General features: G+C 33.9%; 1 protein-coding gene across 16 annotated transcripts in view; it reads right to left on the reverse strand.

Annotated features, from left to right (window-relative positions):
• The window catches only part of CACNA2D1 (calcium voltage-gated channel auxiliary subunit alpha2delta 1), a 497,513-nt gene that overhangs the window by 164,981 nt on the left and 318,625 nt on the right, over positions 1 to 13,907 (reverse strand). For all 16 annotated transcript variants that reach the window (XR_001744873.3, XM_005250574.4, XM_005250572.4 and 13 more), the window contains exon 6: positions 5,620 to 5,749. Coding sequence is in view for 15 of the 16 variants with exons in the window: in XM_005250574.4 (XP_005250631.1) it covers positions 5,620 to 5,749 (130 nt within the window). In the remaining variant the exon portion in view is untranslated. The remainder of the gene's footprint in view (positions 1 to 5,619; positions 5,750 to 13,907) is intronic.

The following is a 13,907-nucleotide window of genomic DNA, read 5'->3' on the forward strand; positions in this document are numbered from 1 at the left end:
TGTGTATATATATATATATATTTTTTTTTTTTTTTTTTTTTGAGACAGGGTCTCACTCTGTCACCCAGACTGGAGTGCAGTGGCACAATCATAACTCACTGAAACCTCTGCCTCCTGGGCTCACATGAACCTCCAACCTCTGCCTTCCAAGGAGCTGGGACTATAGGCGCATGCCAGCACCCAAGGCTGTTTTTAAAATTTGTTTAGAGAGACAGAGTTTCACTATGTTGCCCAGGCCAGTCCCTAACTCCTGGGCTCAATCGATCCGCCCACTTTGGTCTCCCAAAGTGCTGGGATTACAGGCATGAGCCACCACACCAGGAGGAGCTTTCTATTCCAATAAAAGATAGTAACAGTTTTTATCAAGGTATAATTACAAAATAGATATTTTTCTTAACACATATAAATATAATCCATATTATTTTGTTATTGAAATCACAGAACAAATGTGATTTACTTTCTAACATATTGTTTTTTAAACTAATCCATCAATAAATCAAAATATTTGTTAAATAAAATATGCCAAATACAGGTCAAAATATTGTACACTTCCAAGTTAACTAATATATATCAACTACTATAATCAATATAGTTTGAAAGAAGATAATATTTCAGAAACAAAATCATTATAAGAAAAAATAAATATTAACTCTATAGTTTCTGCCTAATATCATTTTTCATTAACTTTTAAAAAATCCACTTTGGTTATAAACCAATTACATCCTAAGTAATCTACCCTACACATATTAATCATTGTAAGTAACATCAAATAATCATATATCTCTCGTGGATTGCATTTCCTTTAAATCATCTGTTATCCAAAGAATAATTTCACTCTTTAATTTCAGTATTTTAAAGTTGCTCTCACGTCTTCTCATTATTTCAAAGCTAATTACAAAGAATAACATTATACACCAGAACTGAATGGTCTACCAAAACCATGAACAAGTTTCCCCTCTTACAAAATATATTTGATGACGCAGTATGACAAGCTAGTATCACTCCACTGAAGTATTTTCACTGAGACTATAATTTTCTCAAAAATATGCAGATACAGACTTTAGAGCACAACTATTCCATCTGAATCAAGCCTTTTGCCCAAGAACACCAAACACCTTAAAGAAGCATTGTTTTCCTCTGCCTTTTATACAACTATCAGATCTATGGATTTAGCCTGATTTATGTACAGCATGCCAGTCAACTTGAATACTAACTTTTTTACTCTGTTAAAGGTATACTACCCACACTGGTTCTTGGAGTAACAACAAAATGGGCTGTTTACAACAGCTAAATGTAAACTATTAGCAAGTGGTGGACCTTGTTGGAACAGATTAGTTACTAAAATTTACAGGAGATTATGCAATTGTCCAGAAAGACTGCAAGCACCTTTTTCCTCTGCAATTTTGACACTGATGTCATCTAAGATACAGCGGCTATATCTTTTAAGATAACACAATTGAATATCAAGATAAGTTACAAGGATAATGTCAGTGATTATTAGCTTAAATTACAAAAATCAAGCACTTTTAGTAAAGCATATGAGACATCAAAAGATAATACAACTCATGAAAATTGTCTTCTTTTATCAAAATGAAGATATCTTCATGATAAAAGTATGTTAGGTATTTTTACTTCTAAAACGTAAATAATAATTGCCTTACTTAAATTATAGGGTAAGTATAAGGACAAAAGTATCTGGTCCCTGAAAGCTTTATGCAAGTTGGGGTTTCTTCCTATTATTTTCCCTCATTAATGTTATTCTTATAGAAATATAATTATACAAAGAACTATCAATACAAATTTCCATTTAAAATAATTATACAATATTCTATGAAGACAGCCCTACATTGAGTCTAAAGTGATTCAAAAATTAATAAAGTTCTGAGATTAAAAACAAATTAACTCAGAATATTCAGCCCTTGTTTTTACTAAGTTATATGCTTGTCTTGTATAATTCTAAGCAGATAAATTAGATCTGAAAATTAAGTATGGTTTGGGTGTCCTCTAAAAGAAAAGGAGCAACCAGTGAAATTCTCAAAAATGGAGATTTTGAGATGGGGCTCTAATTAAATACAGTACTCTAAAACTTTAAATATATCATTGAGCAGAAATAATCACATTTCAATTCAAGGGACTTTAAAAAGTAATCATCTTTGTGAAATTAGAACACGAGGTTTCTTATGAGAGTGTAGCTACACAACTGTCTTAAAATGAAAAAGGCTGTTTCCTTCAGTTAAGCCTTCAATTAAAGTGCATTTTCATATTCATTAAACTCAGAAGCCGAGAACAATCCTCTAAATCGGATATGTTCCCACACACCACATGAAGAATACTGGTAATTATTAAATTTTCCAGATCTTGTGGACATTTCTGATTTCATTCCTGTCATTTATTCATGCAGCTTATAACATTGGACATGAATTTTAAAGGAGTACAGGCCAGGAAAGGTTAGAGTCTTACTGATGAGATTTCAGCAAAGATGAAGATGCCAATATTAAGATGAATGGGACTAAATAAATAATCCAAAGACAGAGCTTCTTTTAATTATGACATATCCCAAAGAATGCCTATGACTTCTGAAAACATATTAAATATTTTATTGATTCTCAAAATGTTAAGTTGTATTCTCTGAGACTATTAAAATTATCTGTAGCTATTTACAAATAGTTTATTTTAAATTGGAAAGAAAAACATTGTTTACACAAATTAATTTGTGTATGTAAATTGTAGCATACTAAGATATATGTATGCCTATGTAAACATTTTTAAAAAAATTTTTTAAAAATTTACGTTCAAATTTGTGAGTCAGATTTCATATTTGTTCTAGCATACAACAGATGGATGCTTAAGTTATAAAGTGATTTCAACTCAGTAAAGGAAGCAAAAGAGTAAGAGAATGCAGATTCTAATGCAAAGTAAGTATCTTACTGCCTCCTGTGGACAATTCTGGCTCACATATAACCAAACAATAACCTATAAACTTGTCCAGACAATCTGTCTTGACTACCAATACTAGACAGAGAACATTAAAGTAAAGAGGGCCGGCGTGGGGGCTCACGCCTTTAATCCCAGCACTTTAGGAGGCCAAGGCGGGTGGATCACGAGGTCAGGAGTTTGAGATCAGCCTGGCCAACATGGTGAAACCCTGTCTCTACTAAATACAAAAAAACAAACAAAAAAAATTAGCCGGGCATGGTGGTGCATGCCTGTAATCCTAGCTACTCAGGAGGCTGAAGCAGGATAATTGCTTGAAGCTGGGAGGCAGAGGTTGCAGTGAGCTGAGATTGTACCACTACACTTCAGCCTGGGCAAGGGAGTGAGACTCCGTCCCAGAAGAAAAAAAAAAAAAAAAAAAGAAACAGAAGAAAAGGAAGTAAAGAGAAAGCAGCTAGTGTTCTGGCCACACCACATTTATTTCAGGCACACTGGTTTTGGCTTTAACTTCTTTTACACATCAGTCTTCTACGTAAATACATGTTGTAAACAAAATGTTCATAGAGCAAAGCTATTAGAAAATCACTGACTTAAAATATCTTGTGGACATTTATAAATTACTAAATTTAGAAATAAAAAGCCTCCCAGATATCAACAATACAAAACCCAATCATAAAAGATTTCTAATAAATGAACAACATTCAAGTTGGCTTCAGTTTTCTTCAACAGAGTAACGCAGGTTGAAAAGCAGTGCCATGATGTACAGAGTACTGACAAAAAATATTTTGACTCAAAGCTTCTATACCCAGCCAGTTTTTCTTCCAATTGGAATTCAATAGAAAGATACAGAAGGAGATTATTATTTTGTTAACATATCCAACAAACAACAGGTGATAGATCTGAAACTAAAGTGGAAAATATATTATTCAAAAATTGAGAAACATAACCATATAGCTTAGCATTGTCTGAACAGTTAGAATAATGACAAAAACAATTACAAATATCAAAAGTAACTACAGAAAAATAATACAATGGTCAAAGAAAAAATATTAATATATGAATCCAAATCTCAAGTGATTTTAAAAAGGGCTTGGAATTAATAGTCTCAGTTGTATTGTAAAGAAGTTAAATTATGTTTAAGGCTCATGTAAAAAGAAACTATATCTATACACACACACACATATATATACACATACAACGTTTCTATTATTATATGTAATTATAGGTTTAAAATCAAAGAATTGATAGGATGAAAACAGTGGTACTTTTAAAACACTTAAAAGGAGAAACAAAATAAAATAATTTGATCAAAGATAAAATTTATAATAAAAAGAATCATATATGCATTAAAAATTGTTTTTAAAACCAATAATCTCAAAGTGAATAAAAAAAAAAAGCTCATATACAATGTGAGTCCCTTAATCTTGTGAGTCTAAATAAACTTTAACTGTAAATAATAACAACAACAAACACTTACATAGCACTTACTATGAGCCTGGCACTATTATGAGAATTTAAATACATTAAACTTGCTTTATCCTCAAAGGACATTTCAGGATACTAATCTTATCTCCATTTTACAGATGAGAAAATGCCTACTCAGAAATTTGAAGGATTTGCCAGAGGAAATAATACTGCTAAAATTTAAATTTGGACACAGGTAGTCTGGTTCCAGAACCCAGGCCATCTGGATAATCTGGATTCCAAATACACTCTACCGCGTCTCAATTAAGAGGAATACAAGAAACACGTTCTTTACAATCGCAAGCAGTTCTTTCCCCTTACCCTTTACTATGTGAGAAGGCAGGGAACGAGGTGCAGGATGGGGTGGAGGGATGGGTTAAAGAATAAATAATATGGAAGACCAGGGATATGACTGAACAAATACCCTGTTTCTGGTCACAGTTCATTCTCAGACATGATAGAGCTGTCTTTTGGAAAATTCCTAGTTAGAATTCTCAGGCTCTGCTCTGATTAATGCAAAGCGTGTCTCTAAAAAACAACACCTGCGCAAGCTTCCGCCACTATTTTCCTAAACACTTTTTTTACCCCATCCCTTTTTCACAGGGAAGCCTTCTCCAACCAATATTTCCAGTCACAGCTTTTCTAGTTTTTAAGGTCTCTTCCTTTTACCCAAGCACTTCTTTTGGCTGGAAGCCCACAATACATTGAGAGGAAGGTACTCTTTACCTATATCCTAGGGTAAGGCAGAAAAACACAGACCGGGAGGGAAAAAGAGAGAGAGACTGACAGACATGAGAAGTCATAAGAACTGGAAAGAATCTGAAACATACAATTTTCTCCCTTTACCCATTTATGCAAGAATATTTTTGCATGTGTGTATAATACAGCTGCACAGTTTTGGCTTTTGACAAATATATCTATATACTTTGTAAGTTATGGGTGGCAACTGGGAAAGCAGAATTATTTACCAAACATTAAGTTAGAAGGACCACTCCATGGATGCAGGCTGTCCTACAAATATTCGTTTAGTGAGGGTATACTCACATAAACTGTTCATGAAAATCAGATTGATTCTTTCACATAAATCAGAGTTTACCACAGACTCTTATATGACAAACAAAACAATGTCACATTTGCTCTTTTTTTTCCCCCTCAAACATGGGAAACATAAGACAGGCGAGAGCATGGTATTCCAACAGATGTTAACATTCTTTTACTTACAGCCCTCATAGATGTCAGTAGGAATATGGACTGCTGCGTGCTGATAAGATATTTGTCGTCCAAAATTAGCATCTTCAATGAAAACAGGTTTTATCCTCTGGCTGCCTGGCTCACTGTCATTTTTCTCAGGCTATATAGAAAAAGAATAAACAGAATATTACAATTTTTGCTAACATAAATATTTTCACATGCACTTCTTTACTTGCCAAATGCATATTTTTCAAAAAATAAATCTACAACAATTGTTTAAAATATAGTACCTTGATAGCATTGGATACACAAATTTCCATTCAGGTATTAGCACTCACAGTATATCTTTATTGTATTATTCACATTATAACTAACCACTCTCCTGATTTCCTCAATGTTGGAGTCATTCAGGATCATCTTTGGGGGACGAGGGAGACCAGACTTCCACACATATAATACTTATTAAGATGTAAACTTAAAGAATTGGATAGGCCAGGCCCAGTGGCTCACGCCTGTAATCCCAGCACTTTGGGAGGAAGAGGGGGGCAGATCACTTGAGCCCAGGAGTTCTAGACTAGCCCAGGCAACACGGCAAACCCTTGTCTCTATGACAAATAACAGAAAATTAGCTGGACATGGCAGCACAGGCCTGTAGTCACAGGAGGCTTTAGGTCAAAAGATCGCTTGTGCATGGGAGGTTAAGGCTGCAGTGAGCCATGATCACATCACCACACTCTAGCCTGGGCAACAAAGTGAGACCCTGCCTCAAATAAATAAACAAACAAACAAACAGACAAATAAAATAATAAGAAACTAGAGAGGTGCCTTTAAATACAACCTAACTAATATTATCCACTTGAAATAAATTTCACAATTTATTTAACTAAATTTATATTGTGCAGTTGAAGATGATTCTTTGACAAATAATGGTACACGTGACAGAAATAATATGGCAATGAAGGATTATTTAAATCTCATCCTCTTGCTTTTTGCATGTTTTTCAGGTATATCAATTTTTGTTTTAAAAAAGAAAGTATGCTAGGAAAGAAGCGATCTATTCTAACTCTAAATACAATTAAATCCTAATTTCAACCAATTTGACTCTTGAGGCAGGAATGAAGATCCAATCAATAATGATTCAAGAAAACCCCTCAGGAGTCTCAAGTCAAAGATTAATTTTCTATCTATTGGAACTATACTTTTGATACTGAATTACCTGGTTGCCTTCCCCTGGTAACAAACTAAGAATTTCATTCATTTATCCAAAATGCATCTATAACATTTTTTGATATTTGTGTTAAACTTTTTTTGTTCAGTCAAAACAGGTTTTAACTCTACCCTAACTGTATTTGTTTTTAAATGATATGAAGTTTAAAAATTACGAGTTAAGTAAAAGTGAAAAGAGAAAAAATCCTATTTGTTTTGGGTAGAAACAGGTAGAGGGAGAAATGAATGGATGTATACATAGCAAGTGTTACCAGTATTATTCCTGGCTTTGCAATTTTAAGAAATAACTTGTGCTTTCTGGTTTTTCCAATAATACAATGAGAATATATTATATTTGTGATAAGAATAAACTATTAAGGTTTAAGTCTTTTCTATTAATATTATAAAGCTTGTCTTACATAAAAATTACTTCTGTTTCCTCTGAATCCTCTCACACTTAACAATTAGCAGTTTTAAATTCATCTTATGGAGGCTCTTGCTCTTTTAAATAACCATATAAATGGCTTTTAGAAATAACTTTAAAATAATAACGTACTTCTCAACTTGTAAAATCATGTATCAAGACTCCTTAAGGTACAATTGTTAAACATATTTTAAAAAAGAATAATAGTGCTATTTCCATGGTTCTCCTTTTCTAGTTTATATAAATTAAAATAACTTCATAAAAAGATGAGAATTTCTCAATTGAACTCATTTATTATCTTTAAGCTACTGGAAACTACTGTTCCTTATACCATCATACTCCATGTCTTTACTTATCTTTATATATTATGGCAGTATATTTTTAATTGAAATACAGTAAATATTATATACAAAGGACCTGACTTTTATGAAAAAGGCTACTTAACACAGAATGTCTCATGTAGTAATTAACTATTTCAAATAAATTCTCCCTCTGAAACAAAGAATTCCAGTTCTTCAGAACACATACAAGAAAGAACATCTATGTCTCCTTCCAGTGTTTTCTTTTCAAAATATATCTTCTGAAGTCTACAGACCACCATATACAAATGTGTACAGAGAAAATGAGCAAGTGGATTCTGAAATATATTCAAATGCATTTGATAAAACGAAACTGACACATGAAATGCATAATTCTCAGACTATTCTTCTCAATATAATTTCAGCTATTAAATAATAGATTAGATCACTCAGAGACAGAGATACAAGCTAATGTTGGATGAGGAGGTCATTCAATTTTACAACCAGTGCATATTAGCAAATTTAATTTGGAAAGTCATAATGATAATTCTTTGACAGGTACAAAAAGCTCTTGCAAATTTAACATATTTGTCTCACCCTTAGAACTGATATTTATAAAAAGCATTGATTTTTAATATTTTGTTCTTTTTCATGTTAACTTAAAAAATATTCCTACTTATAGCAAAATATTCAAAAATTAAAGTCTATATATTTTACCTAAATTGCAATGGAAATTTACTTAACTATTTTGCACAATTCAGATTTGCAAACTGATAAACTTTGCTTGCAATCATACTATGGCTACGTTTATGTCCCCAGTTCTGTATTATTTTTGTGTGCCACAAAGTTGTAAAATAATTAGTTGATATAGAATAAAATGGCTCACTAAAACTCTCTATGGAAGTATCACAATTTGTATTTCTATCTCACTAGTAAAGGAGTTAGATCAACAGTCTTGGCTAGGTCCAGTGGCTCATGCCTGTAATCCCAGCACTTTGGGAGGCCCAGGCTGGACAATCACTTCAGGCCAGGAGTTCAAGAACATCCTGGACAACATAGTGAGGCCCTCATCTCTACAAAAAATTTAAAAATGAGCCTGGCATCGTGGTATGTTCCTATTATTTCCAGCTATTCAGGAGGCTGAGACATGAGGGCCTTGAGCCCAGGAGTTTGAGGCTGCAATGAGCTATAATTATGCTACTCCACTCTAGCCTGGGTGACAGAATGAGACTGTGCACGCACGCACGTGTGTCTGTGTGTGTGTGTGCATGTGTGTAGGATCCTGTGTGATGAAACAAGCCTTGCATGCAATTCTCCAATATGTATGTATGTACGTATATTTTCAAATTTCAATCTCTAAATACATCCTGGTTTTTTGTAGTTTTTGTACAGTTGTTATTTACATTAGGGCTTGCAGCTTTTACAATACAGATATTACTGATTTTAGAATTTTTTAAAGTCTCGATTACTATCCTCAATATCAATTTTGGATATGTAATATGCCTTAAGGCATGGCATCACGGTCCAATGTAAAGCATTATCAAAGATAGGATGTGTTATATTTAAGGTGGACTTTCATACAGGCATCAAGTCTGAATATTCTGGCATACTGGGATACTGGATCAACACTATGGATTAAAAAGTAAAGTTTAGGCCAGGCATGGTGGCTCACACTTGTAATTCTGGCACTTTGGGAGGCCAAGGCAGGTGGATCACGAGGTCAGGAGTTTGAGACCAGCCTGGTCAACATGGTGAAAACCTGTCTGTACTAATAATACAAAAATTAGCCGAGTGTGGTGGCACATGCCTGTAGTCCCAGCTACTCGGGAGGCTGAGGCAGGAGAATCACTTGAACCTGGGAGGCAGAGGTTGCAGTGAACCAAGATTGCACCACTGCACTCCAGTCTGGGTGACAGAGCGAGACTCTATCTCAAAAAAAAAAAAAAAAAAGAATGTTTAAACATTACTTTAAACATTACTTTTTAATATACAGTATTACATTACTCTGTTATGGCTAGTTCAGCATTGGAATTTAAGCATCCTGTGCTGCTCTGCTAATTAAAGATTGTTACCAGGTCTGACTCACACAGAGGAAAAGCCTTGTGATTTTTTGTTTGTTTGTTTGTTTTGTTTTGAATCAGGATCTTGCTCTCTTCCCCAGCCTGGAGTACAGTGGCACAATCATGGCTCACTACACCCTTGAGTTGCCAACCTCCTACCTACCTCAGCCTCCAGAGCTGCTGGGACTACAGGTGCATTCCATCATACCCACCTAGGTTTTTTAATTTCTATTGTTCAGAGCCAGTGTCTTGCTATGCTGTCCAGGCTGGTCTCAAACTCCTGGCCTCAAATAATCCTCCTGCCTCAGCCTCCTGAGTTGCTGAGATTACAGGTGTGAGCCACCACGCCCATCTTGAAAAGCTTCATTTTTGGTAAATCTCTTGGATCAATGAGAATGAAGACTCAACAGAATTGCAGGTGATGATGCCCAAATAAAGAATGAATAGAAAGAGGTGTGGAACTTTCATCCAGTCAGTTGTTCTAAGTCAAGTTGGAAGGCCAGGTTGAATATTAAATGATGAATCTAGTACAATGACAATAAGAACATAACTGAGCCTTCTGATTTCATTGATTTAAGCTGCTATTTTCTCCTATGACTTAGAGAAGTATTTGGTAGATGAATAGATTTAGAAAGTGTATGAGTTGGATGACACTGAATATGCACTTAAGGACTTACACATAATATTTGTACTTTTACTGAATCATAACAAAAAATAAAATTTTGAAATTATGTATTTAATGAATAGAAATATTGTTCTTGCAAAAAAACATATGAGCTTAGGTAATATATTTGATGAAGAACAAATTATTTTATGGATTCAGAAGATTATGCCCATTCTTCAGGTAATAAAAATATTGTAACTCCTTAGATTTACTCTGGAAAAACTGTAGCATTGATTCTTCAGAAGCAATTTATTTAACATACTAAGAAAAGAAAGTTTTAAAATTAACATGAAAAGTAAATTTATAACATCAGTGGCGAAAGAAAGGTGAAGAAACAATTCTAGTTTTTAAAGATTAGATTCAGTGTAAAGTCTTCATGTATTATTCTACTAATAATTATGATGTATAAAAGAGAAGAAACAGTCTGAGATATGTAGATTTTGGGGAAAAGTGAAATCACAAAGCAGCTGAAATTGAGCAGTAACAAAAAGAAAGTTAAAAAACACTGTAGGGAATATTAAAACAAAGAATATATAAATTTTCCAAATGACAGTGAAAGATAAATTAGAACTAAATTAAGTTAAAATGCAATACTGATCCCTGCAATAACTTGTTTATTAAATTTAAAAGACAAAATTGACATTCTTCAAATAAGATTAAAGTCGCTGATGAGGATTATAATGATGCATTCAAAAGATCTGAAATACAGAACCTGAGGACATCCTTGAAATAAAACTGATGTAATTTTAGTTTGCATGATGAATAAATTTAGTTTGCATGAATGCCCATGAATTGCCTATCACAAGACCTAGCAGGGAGTAAGGCGAGCCATTAGCAATACAATACAGTTGAGTATGATGGAAAAGAGTTGGAGGCTGATTTAAATTCCATATGTAGTATGAAGTTTTCAAATATCCAGCATCAGAAAGGGATGTAATACAGTGCTACAAAAGTATACCCATATCTACACATTATATCTAAATATGTAACCTATATTTTGGGAAGAGAGTGATATTTATCTTCTGCTCAAGGATTGTAAAAGGCACTATGTGATTTTTACAGAGTCTGAAAGTTCAACATAGCACTCCCCATGGAAACCATGTAGTAGCATGCATTATATTATAAAAGGAAATGTTTTAAATGAAGTCATTCTACTTCTAAAAAATTAAAAGAATTTTTTATATTATGATACACAAATATACTTTTCAAAATATTGCCAGGGCAAATGAGGTTTAAAACAACCTACCACCTTGAAAGGTACGAAGATCAATGATATTCTCTTGATACCTGAGGCAAAGACTGGCTAAAGTCATACAACTAAGATCTAATTTAAGAGATCACACAGTAGGACTCCAGGTTCCCACCATAAATGCCACTAATCCAGGACGACTGGGAACCCATGTTTAAACCATCTTTGCAAAAGGAGCATGTGCCCAAGTGTGTAAAGCATTAAAAATATATCAGGACAGGCTTGAAAAATTTTGGAAAGCAGCCCCAAAAACATAAGGCAGAATTCTTAGAAGACACTGAGTCTAGTCTACCTTTTTATTGGTTTTATAGTTTCTCCCCCCAGTGATTCCTGAGATGGCTACATTCCATACAGAGATGCACACATTAATTTTAAGATATTCATGGTAAACATCACTGGGAATACTGGATCAGATCAGCAGAAACTTAGGACTCAAAGTTTAACAAGCTTATACATCACCCACGTTTTATTTTGCCTACTGCAAGAACACTGTAACCTCACAACTGTCAATGATAAAATTAGTTGGATGAAATATAAGCCAAATGCATCAAAATTAAATACGGAGAGAATAATGGATAGATGTAATAAATTCAAATTTTAAATCAAAACTGTCTCCAAAATTTTACCCTTAAGTCTCAATTTACAGCAGCTCCTTCACAGGCCCTCTTCTTCCTCATAGGTGCCCACTGCCCAGGCAGCACAGCATGGTGACACAGTGTTCCAGCTCTGGATCATACAGACTGCACTGCATTCACTTCCCTACTCTGACAAATCCAAAATGTGTAGCACTGGACAAGCAGCTTAAGCTCATTAAATTTTACTTGTTTTGCCTGAAAAATAAAATAATATATGTGCCACAAAGGGTTCTCGTGAATTGTAAATGATACATAAAGTTATAGTAATAGCTAGTATATATTATACATACTTATTCTATACTAGGTAGTAAATAGACTAGGTAGTATGCTTTAAATGCTACCACTTAGTAGAGAATAAGCATATGTATATAAGCATATATCATACAATCAGTATATATATGTATATATAATATATGCTAGCTATTATTACCCAATCCAAACGTATCACATCAAAAATATTTAAACCATTTATTTTAGAAGCAAAAAGAACCAAAGCAATTATGGATACAAAGCAATTAATATTCTACCTGTATGCCATCCTATTCAAGGATTCAATATTGGCCAACATCAAAAATTGAAATAAAGATTGCAAACTGTAAGGTAATTTTTTAAATGTTAGAAAAGAAACCTATGAGGCAGGAGAATAGGGTTTAGAGGCAGGGAACCTAAGGCCAATTCATACTGATTTTCTAGAACTAAATCAAAAGGAAAACTCAACTTTCCACACCCAAGTAACAAAAGGATCACAGACTACTTCCTTTGCAAAACCCTCCACCCTCTTCCCAGGGCAGAGGCAAAATGGAAAGTACCTCTGATTGGTCCCCTCCCACAACCAATCAGACTGGTCACAGTCTTTATTTGCATAGGAGTGTAACTTTGTAACTTCACTTCAGCATCTAATTGGTCCCCTTCAGCAGCCAATCAGACTGACTGCAGGCCAAATCTTCTTCTGTAACTTCACTTTCAGCCTCTGATTGGTCACTTTCTGCAACCAATCAGAATGGTTGTGGGCCTCTACTTCATTTACACAGAGTGTAAACCAAGTAAGCAACATGAAACCTCTAGAGTGTATTTAAACTCCAGAAAATTCTATAACTGGAGCTCTTGATCCACTTGCTCAAGCCCGCTCCTACTCTGTGGAGTGTACTTTTGTTTCAATAAATCTGTGTTTTTCTTTCATTGCTTTCTGCATTTTATCCAGTTCTTTCTTCAAAATGCCAAGGACCTGGACACCCTCCACCGGTAACACCTAGACTCTGATTCTTTCTTCAATAATTAGACTTCATCAATGTTTGATACCTAAAAGTGTAAAATAAAAGTTACATACTATAAGACAGCTTTTTAAAAAAAAAATGCTAGAAAAGAAACCTAGATTTTTCCTTTTTCTTTAATAATTAGATTTCATTGCTGTTTGATGCATATCCCTACTAGCTTATTCTAGAACCAGGTTTATTTATTGCTATAAAGTAAAATATAATCATTAAAGATTGGGCACTGAAAAAGACATTTAGATAGGAGATTATGTTGGAATTAATTTTAATGTAGACAAGACTCTGCTGCTAAGAGGAAAATAAATAGCAACGTAAATATGCAAGGGAATTCAGCAGACTAGCCAAATGTCCCAGACAGGAGAAATTTTGAACATGATCAATAAAATAAAAAGGAGCAAATAAATCAACTCAATTTAATGACATGGGAATTCTAGGTTGAACTTACTTCATTTGAATTTTAGACAGATCTTGGAATTGGGTTAATAAGGCTTTGTAATGATCTGCTTTCTT

The sequence above is a fragment of the Homo sapiens genome, chromosome 7 (assembly GCF_000001405.40).
Source record: "Homo sapiens chromosome 7, GRCh38.p14 Primary Assembly".
Taxonomy (NCBI): Eukaryota; Metazoa; Chordata; class Mammalia; order Primates; family Hominidae; genus Homo; species Homo sapiens.